The sequence below is a fragment of the Homo sapiens genome, chromosome 15, assembly GCF_000001405.40.
Source record: "Homo sapiens chromosome 15, GRCh38.p14 Primary Assembly".
Classification (NCBI taxonomy): domain Eukaryota; kingdom Metazoa; phylum Chordata; class Mammalia; order Primates; family Hominidae; genus Homo; species Homo sapiens.
The window spans coordinates 58,994,726-59,017,391 of record NC_000015.10 but is presented as its reverse complement, the minus strand read 5'-3'; the positions used below and the strand labels follow the sequence as shown (position 1 = coordinate 59,017,391).

At 39.0% G+C, this 22,666-nt stretch overlaps 1 protein-coding gene across 30 annotated transcripts in view; it reads right to left on the bottom strand.

Annotated features, from left to right (window-relative positions):
- RNF111 (ring finger protein 111) overlaps positions 1–22,666 on the bottom strand; it is a 109,757-nt gene that overhangs the window by 80,028 nt on the left and 7,063 nt on the right. For 25 of the 30 annotated variants that reach the window (XM_047432702.1, XM_047432708.1, XM_047432713.1 and 22 more), the window contains one exon: positions 13,218–13,390. The exons of the other annotated variants lie outside the window; for them this stretch is intronic. In XM_047432702.1, the coding sequence (XP_047288658.1) occupies positions 13,218–13,267 (50 nt within the window). In that variant the 5' untranslated portion in view covers positions 13,268–13,390. The remainder of the gene's footprint in view (positions 1–13,217; positions 13,391–22,666) is intronic. 30 annotated transcript variants of the gene reach the window in all.

Here is a 22,666-nt window from a genome sequence, read left to right as displayed (position 1 = left end):
AGCAGCACATTTTACATACTGAACTATTAATTTTTTTGTCAATGCTATTAAATGGCTTGGTGTTTCTCTTATGAATAAGCATTGTCACATATGCTGAATGACGCATTTACGATCTCTGGAAAATCAAACTTAAAAATACAAAAATAAAAATTATCGTGGCCTACACAGCAGCGGTTTCCAACCTTTTTGGCACCAGGGAACGGATTCGTAGAAGACAATTTTTCCACAGACCCAGGGTGGGGGTGGGTGGGTGTGGTTTGAGATGATCCGAGTACATTTATTGTGCACTTTGTTTCTATTATCATTGCATTGCAATATATAATATTATACAATTCACCGTAATATAGAATCAGTGGGAGCCCTGAGCTTGCTCTCCTGCAACTAGATGGTCCCAACTGGGGGTGATGGGAGACAGTGACAGATCATCAGGCATTAGATTCTCGTAAGGAGCAAGCAACCTAGATCCCTCACATGCAGTTCACAATAGGGTTCATGCTCCTACAAGAATGCCGCTGCTGATCTGACAGGAAGCAGAACTCAAGCAGTAATGTAAGTGACAGGGACTGGCTGTAAATATAGATGAAGCTTCACTACTCATCCACCACTCACCTACTGGTACATGGCCTAGTTCCTAATAGGCCACAGATGGGTACCAGTCCGTGGCCCAGGGGTTGGGGAACCCTGCTATACAGAACTCTTTGGAGAAAACAATGTCACTGAAGCAGTGAGCACATCCTTGTGAGAGGCAGGAAATACTGTTTGAAATAGGTAGGGTAGAACAAAATTATGGTGGGCCGAGCAAGATGAAAAATGTTGACTAATATGGTATATGCTCAATTATTCAAATAATTACAGAATAACTACTTTATATGCTGGATCTGTGGGCAGAGAGAGAAAATACAGGTTCCCATCCTTCAAGAAGCTCACAATTTAGGATGATGGAAAGAATTACAGAATATAAATAATTAGGCCAAAGTGGGCAGATCACGAAGTCAAGAGATCAAGACCATCCTGGCCAACATGGTGAAACCCCATCTCTACTAAAAATACAGAAATCAGCTGGGCGTGGTGGTGCGTGCCTGTAGTCCCAGCTACTCGAGTGGCTGAGGCAGGAGAATCGCTTGAATCCAGGAGGTGGAGGTTGCAGTGAGCCAAAATCATGCCACTGCACTCCAGCCTGGCAACAGAGCAAGACTCTATCTCTAAAAAAAAAAAACTATATATATATACATATATATATTTTTTAACCAAAATTGGCCAGGAGCAGTGACTCATGCCTGTAATCCTAGCACTCTTGGAGGCCAAGGTGGGCAGACTGCTTGAGCTAGGAGGTCAAAACATGGCAAAACCCTGTCTCTACTAAAAATACAAAAGTTATCTAGGTGTGGTGGGGTGCACCTGGAGTCCCAGCTACTCAGGAGGCTGAGGTGGGAGGATCACTTGAGCCCAGGGGCAGAGGTTGCAGTGGGCCAAGATCACGCCACTGCACTCCAACCTGGGCGTGAGAACCTGTCTCGAATAAATAAATAAATAACCAGAATACGTTATAAACATGCTATAAATAAAAGCACTCTGTAGGAACAAAACGAGGCAATTAAGGACTCTGATAATGGCTTCATAAAGAAAGTCACATCCAAGTCAAACCATGAAGGATGCACAGGGTGACGGTGGGCGAAGAATATTCACTTCAAACAATGCTAAGAAATGGCAACATCTAAATACTCTAATGCTTGGGGCTGTAGGTTCTTTTGTTCTTTTTTTTTTTTTAGTAGGGGAGAATAAGCTAGGGTCAAATTATCAGAGTGAGGGATTATAGGTTTCTGTTTAACCTAGTTTTAGGAAGACTTTACCTGAGGAGCTGAAGGGAACAGGCTAGAGGGAAAGTCAGAAAGACTACGGAGGAAGCTCTTACAGTGATGGGGGCAAAGAGTAGTTTTAGCAGTTTCACCACATTAACATGCCAATTGTGACTAACAATATTATCTCCATTTTTATTAAAATGCATAAAATATTTCAATACTATTGTAAAACTATATGTGAATTCATAAGAATGATAAAATAAAAATTTAGAAACATACAAAACACAAAACATGACAATATCTCTAACATGCTAGTATGCAAAGAAAGCCTTCAAAATGATAAGGAAAACATAAGTGACTTCTATCTTATCCATCATATTTTATTTTTATTCTTTATTTCCCTTTTATTTTGAGAAAATTATGAAGAAAAATATCAGAATTTAAAAAATTCGACTTTGGTCCTAGTAAGTACTGATCTAAAACTAAGGCTAAATAGCAAAGGCCAAACTACAGAATTTTAAAATAACAAGAAATTGGGTGGCGAGGCACAGTGGTCAGGCTCACACGTATTATCCCAGCACTTACGGAGGCCAAGGCAGGCAGATGGCCTGAGGCCAGGACAAGACCAGCCTGGACAACATGGTGAAACTCTGTCTCTAAAAAAATACAAAAATTAGGGGAGAGTGGTGGCGCACACATGTCCCAGCTATTCAGAAGGCTGAGGTAGGAGAATCGCTTGAGCCCAGGAGGTAAGGACTGCAGTGAGCCGTGATGGTGCCACTGCACTCCAGGTGGTCCATAGAGGAAGACCCTGTCTCAAAAAAAAAAAAAAAAGTCTGCAATTCCTGTTAATACAATTTTTCACATACACCTCTTTGTTCATGGCAGTTTTCCTGATAACATGCTTTCTTTCTGCACCCAAAGAGAGATCATTTTTTCTTAGACTCAGAATAAAACAGAAGAATCTAACAACTTTCCCCTATGTGCTTGCCCCTAAAACAAGTATACATTTCTTCTGAAGCTTTCTAACTTCTTAAGAACAGAAAAATGCTTTTGAAAAGCTGCTTTCTATAATTCCACAGCAGAAAAGTCAACACATAGATACTGCCAAGTATTATGATACAAATGTGATACTGCAGGTATTTTTACCCTTCACTATTCCTCCAAATATCCAGATTCAAATTCTCCAAGCATTCTGCATAGGAACTGAGGAGTCAAAAAGGGCACTAAGTCCTAGTGCTCAGATTCTGACTTGTAATACCATTCTCCAATAAAAAGAACAAAGGTTTCTTGGCAAAACAGCTGATTTCACCAGGGCATTGAAAATACAAGCCTGTAGCATCTGGTAGTGCCAGAAAGTAAAGAAACACACAAAAGAATAGGGGCATGTCAAACAGGACACTGGAACCAAGCTGAAAGAGCTCCCAAAGGCCAAAGCTGGAAAAATTTTGACAACAAAATAAATAATGTAGTATTAATTCTACTCCAAAATTTAAAAATGAGGCTGGCGGCAGTGGCTCACACCTGTAATCCTAGCATGTTGGGAGGCCATGGAAGGCGGATTGCCTAAGCTCAGGAGTTCAAGACCAGCCTGGGCAATATAGTGAAACCTTTGTCTCCACTAAAAAATACAAAAATTAGCCAGGCGTGGTGGCGTGTGCCTGTAACCCCAGCTACTCGGGACGCTGAGGCATAAGAATTACTTGAACCTGGGAGGCAGAGGTTGCAGTGAGCCAAGAAAGCACCACTATACTCCAGCCTGGGCAACAGAGTGAGACTCTTGTCTCCAAAAAAAAAGAAAAAAAATGAATATCCATGAATCCATACTGATATAAATAAATCTTCCTTACAGAAGAATTCCAAACATTTATGTGGACACTCCCTCGTTCAGGAGTTGAAACTTAACAACCCCTCCCCCACCAATCTCAAGTAGGCAAGAAAAGAGTAACTTTATAGTGGAGAAACCTGGCAAACACTACTCAGCCAGCTGATCACAATTGATCAAATCAGTGCTAAGTCATGTTGACACCATGTACTCCTGATACAATGTGATGAGAAAGGCAGGGCACTTTACTTCTGTGGTATTCTTTCCCAAAACCCCAAACTATGAGAAAAACATTCCACTAACCTAGATTCAGGGATGGTCTATAAAATATTTGACAGGTAACCCACAAAACTGTTAGAAAAAATAAGGGAAGACTGAGAAACTGTGAAACCAGAGTCTACAATGAAATATTATCTGGAGTTTATTTAACAGTGATGTATCAATGTGGGTCTCTTAGTCATGACAAACGTGTAATGGGTAAGATGTTAACAACAAGGGTAACTGAGTGAGCGATATATGGGAACTCTGTGTACTATTTTTGCAATGTAAATGTAAAACTACTGCAAAATAAATTCATTTTTTTAAAAACAAGGGTATTATTTACAAACTTCCCCTGATCCCTAGGAAAGGCAGGAGAGAAATGAGTGACTATGGAGCTTACCCTGCTCTCTAACTTCACCATCCATTCTCTCACTACTGCCAATCTCCAAAAATCTAAAGCTGGAACCAGGCCGGTCGCGGTGGCTCACGCCTATAATCTCAGCACTTTGGGAGGCCAAGGCAGGTGGATCACCTGAGGTCAGGAGTTCAAGACCAGCCTGGCCAACATGGCGAAACCCCGTCTCAACTAAAAATACAAAAATTAGCCAGGTGTGGTGTCAGGCACCTGTAATCACAGATACTTGGGAGGCTGAGGTGGGAGAATCGCTTGAACCTGGGGGGCACAGGTTACAGTGAGCTGAGATTGTGCCACTGCACTCCAGCCCAGGTGACAAAGCAAGACTCTGTCTCAAAAAAAAAAAAAGAAAAAAAGAGTTGGAACCACCATGAGAAAAGAAAGGGCCTAAAACCATCCAGTTGCTCCACTGGGATAGCAAGACATACATCTGTATACACTGAGAAATTATGTGTAAGTCAAAAAATTATACGTAATTTTTCTATTAAAACATCCAATCATGTCATCTTCTCAAATTACCACTGGTAATTTTCCAAATAAACACATTTCTTGTGTTAAAATGTTCAGCAATCATGCATTAATAGTCAATACGTACACAAAGCATACATATGCCCAAGTGTGTATACCTGTCTTTTATCTTTTTGTGACATAAAGCGTAAAGAAAACCTACTATTAAATGAGAACAGATAAGTAGTACTTCAAAGCACTAAAGGCTAAGGGTCTTAATTATCAAATACTGTAATTACCTAAGTGGAAATTAAGACAGAACAGCAGGCCAGGTGCAGTGGCTCACGCCTGTAATCTCAACATTTTGGGAGGCCTAGGCAAGTGGACCACCTGAGGTCAGAAGTTCGAGACCAGCCTGGCCAACACAGTGAAACTGTGTCTCTACTAAAAATACAAAAATCAGCCGGGTGTGGAGATGCATGCCTGTAATCCCAGCTACTCAGAAGGCTGAGGCATGAGAATCACCTGAACTCAGGAGGCGGAGGTTACAGTGACGCAAGATCGCACCACTCACTGCATTCCCGCCTGGGTGACAGAGCGAGACTCCATCTCAAAAAAAAAAAAAAAAAAAAAAAAAAAAAGGCAAACAAACAAAAAAGAACACTAAAATTAAGCCACTTATTCTTATATAAGCTAGGAATCTTTGGTCCCAACTTTGACAATCCTAGTTTGGTAGTGAACCATAAGACATTATCTTCAGTTGGAACATATGCCAAGTGTCAGTTTCAATGTGCTATGAACTTCTTTGTGTTCCCCAAAATTCATACGTTGAAGTCCTAACACCCAGTACTTCAAAATGTGTCTGTATTTAGAGATAAGACATTTAAAGAGGTAATTAATGTTAGATGAAGTCATATGAATGGGTCCTAATCCAATCTGACTGGAGTCCTTAAAAGAAGGGGAAATTTAAACACACAAAGCAACATCAGGATGCAAACACACAGAAAAAAAGATTATGTGAGAACACAGCAAGCGATCATTTATAAACCAAGAAGAGGGGCCTCAGGAAAAACCAAACCTGCTGATACCTTAATACTGGACTTACACTCTACAGAACTAGGAGTAAGTAAAGTTTTGTGGTTTAAGCCACTCCATCTGTGGCATTTCATTACCGCAGCCCAAGCAAACTAATACACTGTGGAATAAACACTTTCTGAGTACCTTAAATGTGCTAGAATGCCCCAAGTATTGTAAACACAAGAATGAATAAAGACACAGACCAGTCCTGAGGAAGTTATAGTCTAGCAGTTAGTGAGAAATATCACTAGGTAATCAAAATGCAGTATAAGTGTTATGATAGAGGTATGCACTGAAACTTAATAGAAGTAGAATCTAATCCGATTCTGAAGGGTAGGGTGTACCAGGAAAAGTTTTCCAGGAAGGATAAGACAGTGAAATTCGAAGAACAGAGACCCAATTACCCTATTTCTCATGGCAGAGTTTCCCTGAATAAACTATATAATTAATGATGAAGTATACCTAAAAATGTATAAAACAAGTTATATGAAAGACAAAATACAATCTTCTGATAGACAATTTTTCATCTTCAAGATGCCAAATTCAAACAACTATCTGTCTAGAACGATGACCGTTAGGGAGAAAAGGGGAAATTAGATGACTTCTTCAGACACTTTTGAGCATATGAAAAACTAGACAAAAGCCCACAGAATTACAAAATTTCCCTCAGAATTCATTCCAATTAAATAACAGGAGAAGGAATCTACTGTATTAGACCTAAAACCACAGGCTCTCCTTTAATCTTCAACATTAATACTAAGCTCCCTACATCTCTCATCAGGCAACCCAGTCTCAACTTTTCCATTACCTTCAAGCAGGGAGAACTATAACTTATAATACACTTCAAAGATTAAAACAGATGTGGAGGTCAGATGTGGTGGCTTATGACTGTAATCCCAACACTCTGGGAGGCCAAAGTGGGCAGATCACCTGATGTCAGGAGTTCAAGACCAGCCTGGTCAACATGGTAAAACCCTGTCCCTACTAAAAATATAAAAATTAGTTAGGTGTGGTGGTGGGCACCTGTAATCCCAGCTACTTGGGAGGCTGAGGCAGGAGAATCGCTTAAACCTAGGAGGCAATGGTTGGAGTGAGCTGAGATCACACCACTGCACTCCAGCCTGGGCGACAGAGTGAGACTCCATCTCAAAAAAAGAAAGAAAAAATAAATAAATAAATAAAACAGATGTGGAATCCATCTGTCATCTATCAAGACAGACACAGCTGCAAAAATATGAAATTTGCTCTTCTCAATGTTTTTGTTTTGAAAAAGTTTTCATAAAATACTATTTATATTTACATGTCATGGGTTTATTAATTTCAAAATAAATATTTTTCTTAAATTAAAACAAAAAGAATCAATCCCAAAACTTGTCTAAAAATATATAATTAGCAGCATAAAACAATGTTCACAATTAAAAATTTGCCGATAACATGTATTCCAAAATCTGTTTTTAGCCATGATTTCATGTGAGGGCATAAACAAAATGTCACATTCTCAAATGACACAAAGCTAAAAAAAAATTGCATATAAACTGAATGACAAAATCAGAACCTGAAAATAATTAACTTACAATTTAGCAAAATCATTTTAATTTTTGTTTGTTTGTTTTTGAGATAAGGTCTTGCTTTTGCCCAGGCTGGAGCACAATGGCAGGATCACAGCTCACTGCAGCCTTGACTTCCTGGGCTCAAGTGATCCTCCCGCCTCAGCCTCCCAGGTAACTGGGACTAGAGACATGAGCCATCATGCCCAGCTAATTTTTTGAATTTTTTGCAGAGACGAGGTTTTGCCATGTTGCCCAGTCTGGTCTCAAACTCCTGGCTTCAAGTGATCTACCTGCCTCAACTTCTCAAAGTGTTGAGATTACAGGCATGAGCCACTGTGCCCGGCCACTGAATAATTTCCTTGAGTCAAATTACTGGGTAATATTCTGGACACTCACTCACAAATGCTCCAAGTTCTAATTTTGGTATCGTTCTATATTATCTAATCACCTTTCTTCAGACTCAAATATCAAAGTTTTCTGATCTGAAATTATCAAATTCTAAAGACTTTTTCTTTAGAATTTGATAATTTCAGATCAGAAAACTTTGATATTTGATATTAAGTCATACTGACTTTGATATTAAGTCATCACCATTTGGTCACTTGTAAAAAGCACAATGGAATAAAGTGGGTTCTACTAGCATCTTCCCTCACAGAGATAGTCACCCTCACAAAGACTATGCTCTAGCTAAGATGAAATATCCCAAGATATGAAAAATAAATCCTCCCAAAGCTGATAACATGTAAAAGTAAAATACGTGGCCAGGCGCAGTGGCTCACGCCTGTAATCCCAGCACTTTGAAAGGCCAAGGTGGGCGGATCACCTGAGGTCAGAGTTTAAGACCAGCCTGGCCAACTTGGTGAAACCCCATCTCTACTAAAAATACAAAAAAATTAGCTGGACATGGTGGTGCACCTATAATCCCAGCTGCTCGGGAGGCTGAGGCAAGAGAATCGCTTGAACCCAGGAGGTGGAGGTTGCAGTGAGCCAAGATTGTGCCACTGCATTCCAGCCTGGGTGACAGAATGGGACTCTGTCTCAAAAAAATAAAATAAAATAAAATAAAATACGTGACAATATTAACACAAAGGACAGGAGGGGAACAAATGAAAGTATACTGTTTTAAGTTTCTCATATTATACATACAACCGTCTATTATTCCTTGAAGAAAGACTGTGACAAAGATGCATAGTGTAAACCCTAAAAGAACCACAAAAGATTTTTTTTAAAGTATAAGCCAAAAGTGGTGATAAATGTAATATGATTTTTAAAAACCCTCAATCCAAAAGGAGGCAGGAAAAGAGAAAAGGGACAGGTGGGACAAACAGAAAACAAACAGCAAACTGACAGATTTAAATCCAATTGTATCAACACTGGGGCTATTGGTGTAAGGACAGACTAGAGAGTCCAGAAACAGACTTAAATATATCATCAAATGATTTTCCAACAAAAGTGCCAAGATAATGAGGAAGGAACTGTTTTTTCAACAAATGGTGGTAGGCTGAGTGCGGTGGCTCACGCCTGTAAATACCAGCACTTTGGGAGGCTGACGCAGGAGGATTGCTTGAGCTCAGGAGTCGAGACCAGCCTGGGCAATAAAGTGAGACCCTGTCTCTACAAAAAAATTTTAAAACTAGTCAGGCATGGTGGTGCGTCCTTGCAGTCTCAGCTACTCAGGAGGCTGAGGCAGGAGGATCGCTTGAGCTCAGGAGGATGAGGCTGCAGTGATCCACGACTGTGCCACTGCACTGCAGCCTGGGCAACAGAGAAAGACTCTTGTCTCCAAAAACAAACAAACAAAAATGGTCGTGAAACAACTGGAGAGCCAGATAGGAAAAAAAGGAATCTCAACACCTACCTCACACCAGATACAAAAACTAACTCAACCTAAAACTATAAAGCTTCTAGAAAAAACACAGCAGAAAGTTTATGTGATTATATCATGGGCAAAGATTTCACAGGATACAGAAAGTACTACCATTTCTTAAAAAAATTAGTAAGCTTGACTTTATCAAAATCAAAACCTCCGCTCTTCAGAGACAGCATTAAGAAAACAAAAGGACAAGCTGGTAAGCTAAAGACAGATAAAATTATATATACATGTGTTTGTGTGTGTATACAAACACATATACGTAACTTGAATACTGAATATAAAAAACTCTTATATTCTAATAACACAACCCCACAAAAAATAGGCAAAAGATTTTACAAAACATACAAAAATACCCAATAAGTAAATTTAAAAATCTTCAATATCTTTAGTCACCAGAGGAATGCAAATTAAAACTATAGTAATATACCATTACACACCCAATAAGACTAAAACTAAAAAGACCAAAACCACCAAACACTGGCAAGGATATTCCACAACTGGAACTCCACACATGACTCTCTGGCAGCTTCTAATAATGTTAGTTATGCACACATCTAACGTATGATCCAGTAATTCCATGCCTAAGTTGGAAAACGTGAATACAAAGACTTGTATATGAATGTTCATCGCTTTACTCATAATAGCCAAAAATTAGAGAAAAAATAAATCTCCAAGTGAATGGATAAATTATGTTATACAGCTACAACGGGATACCAAACAGCAACAACAAAGAAGGAACTACTGATACATGTATCAATACGGATTAATCTCAAAAATATCATGCTAAGGGAAAACTAGACACAAAGTATCGGTATGCTTCTATTTATTTGAAATTCCAGACAGGCAAAGCTAACCTAAAGTAAAAAAAAAAAAAAAATTGAACATTGGTTGTGTCTTCAAGGGATGGGGAAAGGACTGACAAGGAAGGAGCATGTAACTTTTTGAGGTCATGGTTGTTCGTGTTCAATACCTTCATAAGGATTTGGGCAATAAATAGATGCATTTGGCAAAACTTAAATGGTATACTTAAGATTTGTGCATTTCACCGTATGTAAAGTTTACTTTAAAAACTGTAAACAGCCTGGAATTCCAGCACTTCAAGAGGCTGAGGCAGGCAGATCACAAGGTCAGGAGTTCAAGACCAGCCTGGCCAAGATGGTGAAACCCCATTTCTACTAAAAATACAAAAAAATTAGCTGGGCGTGGTAGCGGGCGCCTGCAATCCCAGCTACTCGGGGGGCTGAGGCAGAGAACTGCTTGAACCCGGGAGGCGGAGGTTGCAGTGAGCCAAGATCATGCCATTGCACTCCAGCCTGGGCGACAGAGCAAGACTCCATCTCAAAGAAAAAAAATAAATAACTGTAAACAAATATTTGACTCTAGTTAGTGACATGAAACTGTAGTTTTTTACGGGTAAAATGCACTGGCGTCTGTAACTTTATTTTTTTTATTTTTGTAACTTTAAAATGCATAAAAAGCAACAGGTTTGGTTGATGGACGGTTGGAGGAACAAATAGATGGCTAGAAATGTAAAGCAAAAAAATAGCAAATTGTTAATCATAGAATCTAGGTGGCAGGGAGATGGGCGTTCACTGTACAATTCTTTCATCTTTTCTGTTTGCAATTTTGCATAATAAAATGCTAAAGGGAAAACATTTGATGAGCAGAGTATCAAACACAAGAGTAATAATACTACTACTTACATGAAATTCTAAAACAAAGAAAACTCATCTATGATGTCAAAAATCAGATGAGTAGTTGCCTGAGGCAGGAGATGTGGGTGGCTGATGGCAAAAGAGCACAAAGGAACTTTCTAGAGTGATGGAATGTTTTATGTCCTGATTGGGGTGCTAACTGCATGGACAGACACATTTGCCAAAATTCATCCAACTATACATAAAACGTGTGCCTCATATTGTATATAAATTATACATCAAACATCAACTTGGTTGGTTTTTAAAATAAGTTCACTATATAAAATCTGGAATACACAGAAAAAGCAAAGAGAAATTAAGTCCCAATCCCATCACCCTAATAAAATCACCAACCTTTCCTTCTCTTGACAATGACCACGCCTACTGGAGATAAAAATATACTTTAGATGGTTTTCCTTAGAAGGAAATACAGAAATAGTGACTTCCTAAATTTTGGAATTCTTTGCTCAGGCAACTCAAAATGCATTGATTTAAATCTCCACATCCCCATCACTGCTGTGACTCATTAGCAAATTATTAATCATTCTGTGCCTGAATTTCCTCATCTGAAAAATGAAAATATTTACCACAAAGGGTTGTTGTAAATATTAAACAAAGTAACATATGCATATGATAGCTTTTATTGTTGTTGTTTTAAAGATGACGAGTCAGCTAGTTTTTAGAAATCGTCCAGGCAAAGACGTCCACAAGCTTCTTCCCTCTGAATTCTTCCCCCTACCCACGATCACCACATATACATATACATACATTTTTTTTTTGGTACGACTTCAATCCTCTAGCTACACCCACCTCAAACTAGTCTAACTTATTCAAGTGAACCTCAAATTCCTCTTGAAGATTAGACCAAAACACTGAGTTGTTAAAGGCCAAAGCAAAGGTTGGAGTAACAAAATAAATAAAAATAAAATCAGAAAACTAAATTAAAAAGATGACAGCTGTCCTGAGAATGCGGGATCTAATGTTGGGAGCAAAACTGCCCAAGGAAACAATTTCTCTTTGAATGAAGTCCAATAAGTTTATTTAGATAAAATTTGTTTTTACTCTACATATATGATTTAGGTCAGTCAAAATATGTAATCTGGAGAATAGTAATGAAAGCCTATGTTCTAGAGGCTGGGTGCAGTGGCTCGTGCCTGTAATCCCAGCACTTCATGCAGGGAGGACTGCTTGTGCCCAGGAGTTTGAGATCAGCCTAGGCAACATAGGTGAGACTGTCTCGACAAATAAACAAACAGTATGTACTAAAGAAAGAGAACTTGAGTTGTAAGAGGAAAACCAGGAAGACTTACTGACACTTTAATGGCTGACAGTATAGGCATACTGAAAGTTGGAATTTGGGAGAACACCTCTAGATAGACATCAAGCCCATAAAGTGAACTTGACAAGAAAAAAATAATTTAAACCATGTAGGAGATTATGCTTGCCCTTCTGCTCACTGATTATATGCCTAGAATCAACACAAAATAGGAGATTAAATTTTGCTGCTCTCCACTGGGTCTCACTTCCCAAGTGTCTCTCAGAATGTGAGCATCTTACTATGCTGTCAGATTCTAATATTTAGAGCCATTTATTTTTCCCATATTATAGGCCATATACACAAACCTACTCTTTCTCTGATATTTAACAATGAAAACATGATTTATTCCAATAGTGGAGGGAAAACGGGAAGTGCTAGACTTCCAGAGACTGCATATTTATAATGTATATTTGGGCAACTTTAGGGATTTCCAAGGTTATCTTTGACTAAATGCCATTTTTGCTTTCCTTGGATCAGTATATTCAGACAGTGAAGTGAAAATTCTTGTTACAAGAAACAAAAAACACCAAGATATTAAACAACTCTAGAATACTGGTTTGGGGAAACCAAGAATTCATTATCCTGCATACTGATGTCAGCTACTTTATTTAACAAACCTTTTATGGTTTGAATTTTTACTGTACGTCACTGATCAAGGTGATAAAAAGATAGTAAGGTGCTACCCTTTCCTAACAAATTTCATATTCTAGATAAAAATAGTAACCTTAATCCTAATGTGAATTCTTGTACACGTTAAGTCTCATCTACACACATTTACCTATATACTTTTTTGCAATCTTCAGAATTTTAGTTTCAGTAAACCTAAACAGCAAGTTCCTTCTGTTGGAGATAATAAAAAGAGACAACTAAGGATCAGTAAAGATAATTGGGAGAGAAAAGAAGGAGTATTTTAAATTGAAGCTTGTTAAAGGAAGATAACTAAAAACAAAGTTGAGACCTTAAAACTGCTAATCCAGAACTGCCATCTATGAGGGAAAAAACATGCATTCACACTGGAATAAAATAAATAAATCCAAGAGTCTGGGAAGAGGGTTTCAAAAAGATCAACTCAGCTACGGCAAGGAGGATAAACACAGGATAGGTCACTCAAACTTCTTCCATCCCAAGCATCTGGAATGAGAACAAAACCAAGAAAAGTCAATCAGGAAAGAGAAATTAATTTTACAGTAGCTTATTAATATTTTAGAAGATACAGTATCACTGACAATACATTAGCTATCACTTATTCATTTATGGTTCTCATTCAATAAATATTTATTGAAAGCCTATAATGAGCTAGGCACTTGTTTTAGGCACTGGCATCAGCCACGAACAGGACATAGAAAGTCTTTGCTCTCATGGAAATTACATGCAAATGAGACCAAAAAACCAAGATAATTTTAGAGCGAAACACGTGCTATTAAGAAAATACGCCACGTGCAGTGGCTCACACCTGTAATTCCAGCAGTTTGGGAGGCTGAGGCAGGCAGATCGCTTGAGCTCAGGAGTTCAAGACCAGCCTGGGCAACACGGCAAAACCCTGTCTCTACAAAAAATTTTAAAAAAATTAGCTGGGTGTGGTAGCACGCACCTGTAGTCCCAGCTACTGGAGAGGCTGAGGTGGGAGGATGGTTTGAGCCTAGGAGGTGGAGGTTGCAGTAAGCAGGGATCATGCCACTGCACTCCAGTCTGAGCAACAGAGCCAGACTCTGTCTCAAAAAAGAAAAAGGCCGGGTGTGGCGGCTCACACCTGTAATCCCATAACTTTGGGAGGTCAAGGTGGGCAGATGGCTTGAGCTCAGGAGTTCCAGACCAGCCTGGGCCACAGGGCAAAAGCATGTCTCTACAAAAACTTAGCTGGGTGTGGTGGTACATGCCTGTCCCAGCTACTCAGGAGGCTGAGGTGGGAGGATCGCTTGAGCCCAGGAGGCAGAGGTTGCAGTGAGCTGACATTGAGCCACTGCACTCCAGCCTGCGAAACTGAGTGAGACCTTGTCTCGAAAAAAGAAAAAAGAAAATTAAACAGGCAGTAGGATCACTTGAGGCCAGGAGTTCAAGGCTGCAGTAAGCTTTAATAGCACCTGTGAATAGCCAACTGCAATCCCGCGCTGGCAACATAATGAGATCTTATCACAAAAAAGGAAGAAAGAAAACAAAACAAATGTAAAGGTTGACCATCAACAGGATCCTCTCTAAGAAGCTAAAGACATGAATCATGACAAGAAACTAGCCACTAGTCAGTCAAGCCACACAATTCTAGAGGAAGAGTATTCCTGGGAGAGAAAAAATAGGAAAGACTATGTGACAGGAATATGCCTAACAGGTGCAAAGAACTAAAAGAAGGGAAGTGGAAGGAAAGGGAAATGGCACACAATGACATCAGAAGTAGTCAGGGCCAGATCAGGTAGAGCCTGTAGGGAACTGTGTGCCACATTTTTATTTCATTTTATCTTTACTAAGAACTATAGGGAACTGAAGATTACAGAAGTGACTTGCCTAAGACCTGATAGCAAAGCCTGGATCTAAATGACTATCTAAGTTGTTGAGTTTGGTCACTCTCTCTCTTTTTTTTTTTTTAATTAAATGCACAGTTATGAGGGCTTTCACTCAGAACTTCAGTTCCCATGACTACTTTTACATAAGATTATTACATATGTTACTCAACCGTACTTCCCGTATTTACCATGCAGATTTTCAGGAACTTGTCCCTCACATAAGAATGTTCTAATAAAGCATGGTAACTGCTACAAATAACAAAGTACCAAATACCATGGGAAAACGGAAGGGACAGCTATTAATTCTAAAGGAAAAACCTGAAAGAAGTTTAAGAGTTGATCTTTAAAAGTAAAATTTCAAGTGGAGAATAAGGATAAGGATACATCAGAGAAATGGCGGGAAGATAGTCAAGAAAATAGAATGGTGAGTTTTAACCAACACTATACAGTAGTCTCCCCTTAACCACAATTTACTGTCTACGGTTTCAGTTACCTATGGTCAACCATGGTCCAAAAATATTAAAGAAAAAACTCTAGAAATAAACAGCTCACAAGCTTTAACCGCTTATGAATGCCTACACAGTGCCCATGTCATTAACCTCATTTCGCCATTTTATCATCATTTTCCGTCATCACAAGAAAGGTGAGTACAATATTTTGAGAGATGACATTCACACAATTTTTATTAAATATAGTTATAAATTTTTTTATTAGTTATTGCTATTAATGTCTTACTCTGCCCAATGTATAAATTAAACTTTATAATAGGTATGCATGTTGTGGCTGTTAAGCATCTACTGGGGGTCTTGGACTGTATCCCTCATGGATAAGGGAGGACTACTGTACTTAGTTCTTTAAACATGATTTCATAAAAAATAAAATAAAATCCCATGATAATGTATGTTTTGTAGGTGTTCTGTAACAAATCTTATATCACATGATTTTCTTCACTTAATAAAAGTATTAAGTATTTTCTATTAAAGAACCTAGCTGTCAAAATAGACTTAGTCTTCCTAAAGTGAACCTATTCGCCAAATGTGGAGAGCCCATTTCCATGTCACTAATATAACTTTTTCCTGGTAAAACTGTCATGATTATCAAAAGCAAAAGTTCACATTTTTTAAAAACATGGTAAGTTATACAAGACCTTTATTTCAAATCTCCCTCCAATCCCCACTAAACTGATAGTAAAAAGAATTTTTTTTTAATCAACAACAAAAATAGGAACTAATAGCAGGCAAAGTAGAGATGGCAATAGAATCCTGTTACCTGATTGACAGGAAATCCAGAAAAGAGAAGAGAGGTAAAAAATGGCTAAGAAGTTATCAAAGGCAATGTAAATATTTCATATAACTGAAGAACATGAACCCTTCATACCTCTGTTCTCAGAGACCACCATTCTCCTCCTCACCTACTCCACTAAAGCCCCAGTAGTTTCTAGGCTATTTCTCAAGCAGGTCAACCATGCTATGGCTAGTCACGCTGCCTTGAATGCTCTTCCCCCAGATAACCACGAGGCTCACTCATTCACTTCCTTTACATCTGTGTTCAAATGTTTCCTTATCCATGATACCTTCCCTGACCACCTCACATTAGTAGTTAATACCAACATTAAAATTTTTGTGGAAAGGCAAAAAAATAAAAAGTTAACCCCACCCTCTATCTTCCTTTTCCAGCTCACTTATTTCCACAATGACCATCTACAACTTTGTTTCCCCACCAGAGCAGATTTCGTTTTGATCACTACTATGTGCCCAAAAGCTTAGAACACATATTTGGCATTCAATAGGCATTTGCTGAATTGTTCTTTAAAATAATCAAAAATTCTGACATAACTGAAAGATGGGATGAAAGGAGAATAGTGGGCTCATCTACCATCAAAAATTGGTTAATTCTCTGCAGCAGCAGTTATCTTTTTTTTTTTTTTTTGAGACGGAGTTCAGCTCTGTCACCCAGGATGGAGCGGAGTGGTGCCATCTTGGCTCACTGAAACATCTGCCTCCCAGTTCAAGCAATTCTCGTGCCTCAGCCTCCCGAATAGCTAGGATTATAGGCGCCCGCCACCATACCTGGCTGTTTTGTATTTTTCGTAGAGACAGGGTTTCCCCAAGTTGGCCAGGCTGGTCTCAAATTCCTGACCTCAGGTGATCCGCCTGCCTCGGCCTCCCAAAGTGCTGCAATTACAGATGTGAGCCACCAGGCCCGGTCCTGAGGTCCTTCATAATCTTAAAAATGGGCCGGGTGCCTAGCAGTTTGAGATCAGCCTGGACAACATGGTGAAACCCGTCTCTACTAAAAATAGAAAAATGAGCCAAGTGTGGTGGTACATGCCTGTAGTCCCAGCTACTTGGGAGGCTGAAGTGGGAGGACTGCCTGAGCCCAGGAGGCAGAGAATGTAGTGAACTAAGATCTCACCACTGCACTCTAGCCTGGGTAACAGAGAGAGACCCTGTCTCAAAAAAAAAAAAAAAAAAGGGAAAAAAAAAATCACTGGAAGATCTGAAAAAGCTTTTATTATATGGGTTATATCTACTGATACTTATTGATATGGTCTGGATCTGTGTCCTCAACCAAATCTCAGGTCAAAGTGTAATTCCCATTGTTGGAGGTGGGGCCTGCCTGGAGGTGACTGGATTATCTGGGCAATTTCTAATGGTTCAGCACCATCCCTTTGGTGCTGTTCTCATTATGGAGTTCTCATGAGATGTGGTTTTTTAAAATTGTGTGGCACTTCCCCCTTCTCTCCTGCTCCTGCCATGTAAGACACCTACTCTTGCTTTGCCCTCTACCATGAGTAAAAGCTCAGAGGCCTCCCCAGAAGCAGATGCTGCCACGCTTCCTATAAAACCTATGGAACCTTGAGCCAATTAAACCCCTTTTCTTTATAAATTACCCAGTCTCAGTTATTTATAGCAGTGTGAGAACGAACTAATACCCTTACCCTATTAGAAAGTAAAACTCATAAATGCTTTAAAATGTATTATTTTAAAACTGCAGTAATAGGCCGGGCACAGTGGCTGACACCTGTAATCCCAGCACTTGAGGAGGCTGAGGTGGGCGGATCACCTGAGGTCAGGAGTTCGAGACCAGCCTGGGAAACATAGTGAAACCCTGTCTCTACTAAAAATACAAAAATTAGCCGGGTGTGATGGTGCATGCCTGTAATCCCAGCTACTCGGGAGGCTGAGGCAGCAGAATTGCTTGAACCTGGGGGGCGGAGATTGCAGTGAACTGAGATTGCACCACTGCACTCCAGCCTGGGTGACAGTGTGACTCCGTCTCAAAAACAAACAAACCCCACTGCAAACCCATTATATCTAATATAAGTAACTTTTATTAAAATATTTTCAAAACTTTAATAAGAGCGGTAATGCTATACATTTTTTGCAAATCTCTCTAATGACTAGCTTAACAGAAGAAAACTGGATTGTCACATCTGCATCTGTATTCCATTTATCATGATATGCTGTTCTGGTTAAATTATAAGAAAATCCAGTTTCACACAAATATGTAGTTGAAAAAGGGAGTAGTATATTTAATAACCTTTTCAGGTAAGTGTGGGTGTTATTCCTCTTTGATACTACCCCAAAACTTTACAAAGGCAGTTTGAACTTAATTGCAATGTGGAATTTGAAACCATATCAATGAAACCTCATACTATCAGTGAAAAAACAACTGCTCGATACTGCACTTTACATAGATCTTTCACCCAGACATGACTTTGTAACATCATGGTCATCTGAAAAATATTGTTTCACCAAGTTACGCACCTCTTTCAAACATGACACATTTCATTATGTAACAGTAAAAAAATAAATTTTGTTAATAACACAACCAATCTCATTGCAAAGTCCTGAGAAACTGCCAAAATTACAGTGACTGATAGGCGTTTTCCACAATTCTAATTTTTGCTTGAAAGTTTGAATTTTATTTTGGCAATAAATTCTGTCATTTGTTTTTCTTGAAGTGAACGGCTCACTTCATTTATTTTTGAGAAAATATGTACAAATATCCAAGTTCACACAACTACAGTTTGCTTCTTTCAAGTAAAAATGTGTTCCATGAAAGAAGTGACTAGTTTGCTAATCCATTTTATAACTAAATCAAACAAGTTCTTTTCTCAAAATAAGCATCATACTTTGGTATGCAATGGAAGACCCTGTAACAACCTTCCCAAGAACATACGGACACAATGAGGGGAAGAACACTCACTGTAATCTTTCAGAGTGTGGAGGGTGGGAGGAGGGAGAGGATAAGGAAAAATAACTAACAGGTACTAGGCTTAATACCTGGGTGGTGAAATAATCTGTACAACAAACTCTATGACACAAGTTTACCTATGTAACAAACCTGCATTTATACCCCTGAACTTAAACTTAAAAAAAAAAAAAAACTTCCCATTTTGTCACATGGAATATTAAAAACACATGTGCTTGGCCAGACACGGTGGCTCATGCCTGTAATCCCAGCACTTTGGGAGGCCGAGGCTGGCGGATCACGAGGTCAGGAGATCGAGACCAGCCTCACCAACATAGTGAAACCACGTCTCTACTAAAAATACAAAAATTAGCCGGGTGTGGTGGCACGGGCCTGTAATCCCAGCTACTAGGGAGCCTGAGGCAGGAGAATTGATTCAACCTGGGAGGCAGAGATTACAGTGAGCCAGGATCGCCCCACTGCACTCCAGCCTGGGCAACGGAGTGAGACTCAGCTTCAAAAAAAACAAAAAACAAACAAAAAGAAAAACAAAAAAAACACATACACACATGTGCTCAAGAATCAAAATAAATTTACAAATTTTTTGGGTTTTTGTTTTTTTTTTTGAGATGGAGTCTCACACTGTCGCCAGGCTGGAGTGCAGTGGCGCAATCTTGGCTCACTGCAACCTCTGCCTCCCGGGTTCAAGCCATCCTCCTGCCTCAGCCTCCCGAGTAGCTGGGATTACAGACATATGCCACCACGCCCTGCTAATTTTGTATTTTTAGTAGAGATGGAGTTTCCCCATGTTGCCCAGGATGGTCTCGATCTCTTGACCTCGTGATGTGGCCACCTCAGCCTCCCAAAGTGCTGGGATTACAGGCGTGAGACACCATACCCAGCCCTGATTTTTTTTTTTTTTTTAACTGCAAATGTGTAGTCATGAAGAACATAGTGATTACTAATGCAGTTTGGCCACTGTCTTGATTTGTGCTACAGGGCCATTAGTTTAATGCACCACTGTTTTTTGCACCATCAGTGCAAATGTCAACTGGTGTTCACATCAGTTACATAGAAAATGAGAACTTGGTAATATTCTGAAATAGTTTCAACCTGGTAGACCTCCTGAACACTTGGAAGAGCTACCTCAAGAGTCAACAGACCACACTCTGAGAACCACTACTCTGGATGCACATATAAAATACAGGAGGAAAGAGATACATCTTCAGAGAAAAGACTTGGGTCATAGGAAGATAAGAATGGCAAGGAGCCTTGTTTTTTTTCCCTGTACATTCTTTGTACCTTATAAATTTGGTACACTTTGTATATATTACTTTTCTCTGAAAAAATTAACTTAAAAAAAGACACTTAAACTGACATGAAAACTAAGTAAAAATTAAGCATATTAGTAGAAATATAAGTACACAAGTAAATACAAACAAATATAAGCATACTACTTATAAATATAAAGGTATAGACTACAGAAATAATTTTTGAGAGCTAAAATGTTTCTGTTTAAGCAGTACAACTAGGAGATTAGGAGAGTTGCATAGGAAACCACTGTTTTTCATTGTAAGTCTTTTGAAACTGACTTTTAAAACCGTGTACAGATATTAATTGGTTGAAAATTTAAAATATTCAAAATATTACTTTGAAAAAACACACATTAAGTTAGATTGAATAAGTAAATAAAGCAAATATCCATACACAGGTGAGAAACTGGCTATGAAATATACCAAGATGTAACAGTAACTGCCTGGGTAAAAAAAAAAAAAAAAAAAAAAAAAAAAAGAAAGTACTGATGAGTTTTCAATCACATACAAAAATTCTGTTTCATAATTTTTTAATTTTTTTTTTCTTGAGATGGAGTCTTGCTCTACTGCCCAGGCTGGAGTACAGTGGCATGATCTCGGCTCACTGCAACCTCCACCTCCCAGGTTCAAGCGATTCTCCTGCTCCAGCCACCCAAGTAGCTGGGATTACAGGCATGCACCACCCCACTTGGCTACTTTTTTTTTTTTGCATTTTTCAGTTGAGACAGGGTTTCATCAGGTTGGCCAGGATGATCTTGAACTCCTGGCCTCAAGGGATCCATATGCCTCGGCCTCCCGAAGTGCTGGGATTATAGGTATGAGCTACCGCACCCAGCCCAATTTTTTGAACTCATTTTAAAGTTTCTTAAAAAGCAACAGTTTTCTTCAGATTAGAATGTTTGATGACTTAGTTAAAAATAGTTAAAAGTATAAACTTCAGGTTTTTAATAAACAGTTAAGTGGCTAAACATACACACACAATTTTTTCTCATTTCATATGATCACAATTAAGAACATAACTCATTATGTATTTGAAAAAGAAAAGAAGAAAAAAATTGCTTTATGACAATAAGTTGCTGAGTCTTACGTGATTACTTCATAAAATCTTCAAAGAAATATAAACCTACTATCAAAAATCTAATTTAAATTTAGTTTCCTAGCGATGTCCTGATGCATGAAAAAAAGATTATTCCTGTATATAAATAACACAACAGCAAATTGGATTGCTCACTAAAAGGAACCAGGGTTCCATGGAAAACGGCTCATTCCAAGACTGACAAAGGAAAGAAATAAGATGTGCTTGCAACATCTTGCTGTGCCAGAAAGACAGGAAATACTTAAAAAAAAAAAAAAAAAAAAAAAAGGCCGGGGCACGGCATCTCATGCCTGTAATCCCAGCACTTTGGGAGGCTGAGGCAGGTGGATCACGAGGTCACAAGGTCAGGAGTTCAAGACCAGCCTGTCCAAGATGGTGAAACCCCGTCTCTACTAAAAATACAAAAATTAGCCGGGCATGGTGGCAGGCGCCTATAATCCCAGCTATTTGGGAGGCTGAGGCAGAGAATTGCTTGAACCCGGGAGGCAGAGGTTGCAGTGAGCCAAGATCGCGCCACTGCACTCCAGCCTGGGAGACAAGAGTGAGACTCCGTCAAAAAAAAAAAACAAGAGGTTATGTTAAAAAGACACAGGAGCCCACTTGGAAAGGCTCCTAATGGACAAATCTGGGACAATTTGAACATCAAAATAAAGGTTATAATGGGTTATTTAACCCACTGAATAAAACAGGAAACACACAATTCTGTATTAATCAGATAAAAGAATGTCTCTTCCTTATAAAAGAATGTCCATTAGTGAAGAAAATGGATGAGTTACAAAATAAACACTTTCCAACCATTAGAGTAAAGATCAGTAAAGATCAGCATAGGCAAGAAACATCAATGGATGCTACATGGGCCTTGGGGGATGTGGGGAGTGATGAGGAACAGGATGATCTGATGAGGAGCAGAGTAGCTGCACTATCTCAAAGTTATCCCCACAGATTGCTTATTAGGTGCACTGTTCCACATTACAGGAGACTAAAGAGATATGACAACTAAATGCATTTTGTGATCCTGAACTGGGTCCTATGAGGAAAATGCTGTAAAGGGATAAATGCTATTATCAGGACAATTCGACAAAACTGGAAAATGAGCTGTAGATTAATATTATCAAAGTTTAATTTTCTGAATTTTGTAACTGGTGCAGTGATAACGCAAAAGAATACAATACACAGTGAATATTTAGAAACAAATGGGCATAATGCAATGTAATGGGCATAATGTAAGCAATTTACTTTTAAATGATTCAAGAGAGAATAAGGGGCCAGGCGCAAAGGCTCACCCCAGCACTTTGGGAGGCTGAAG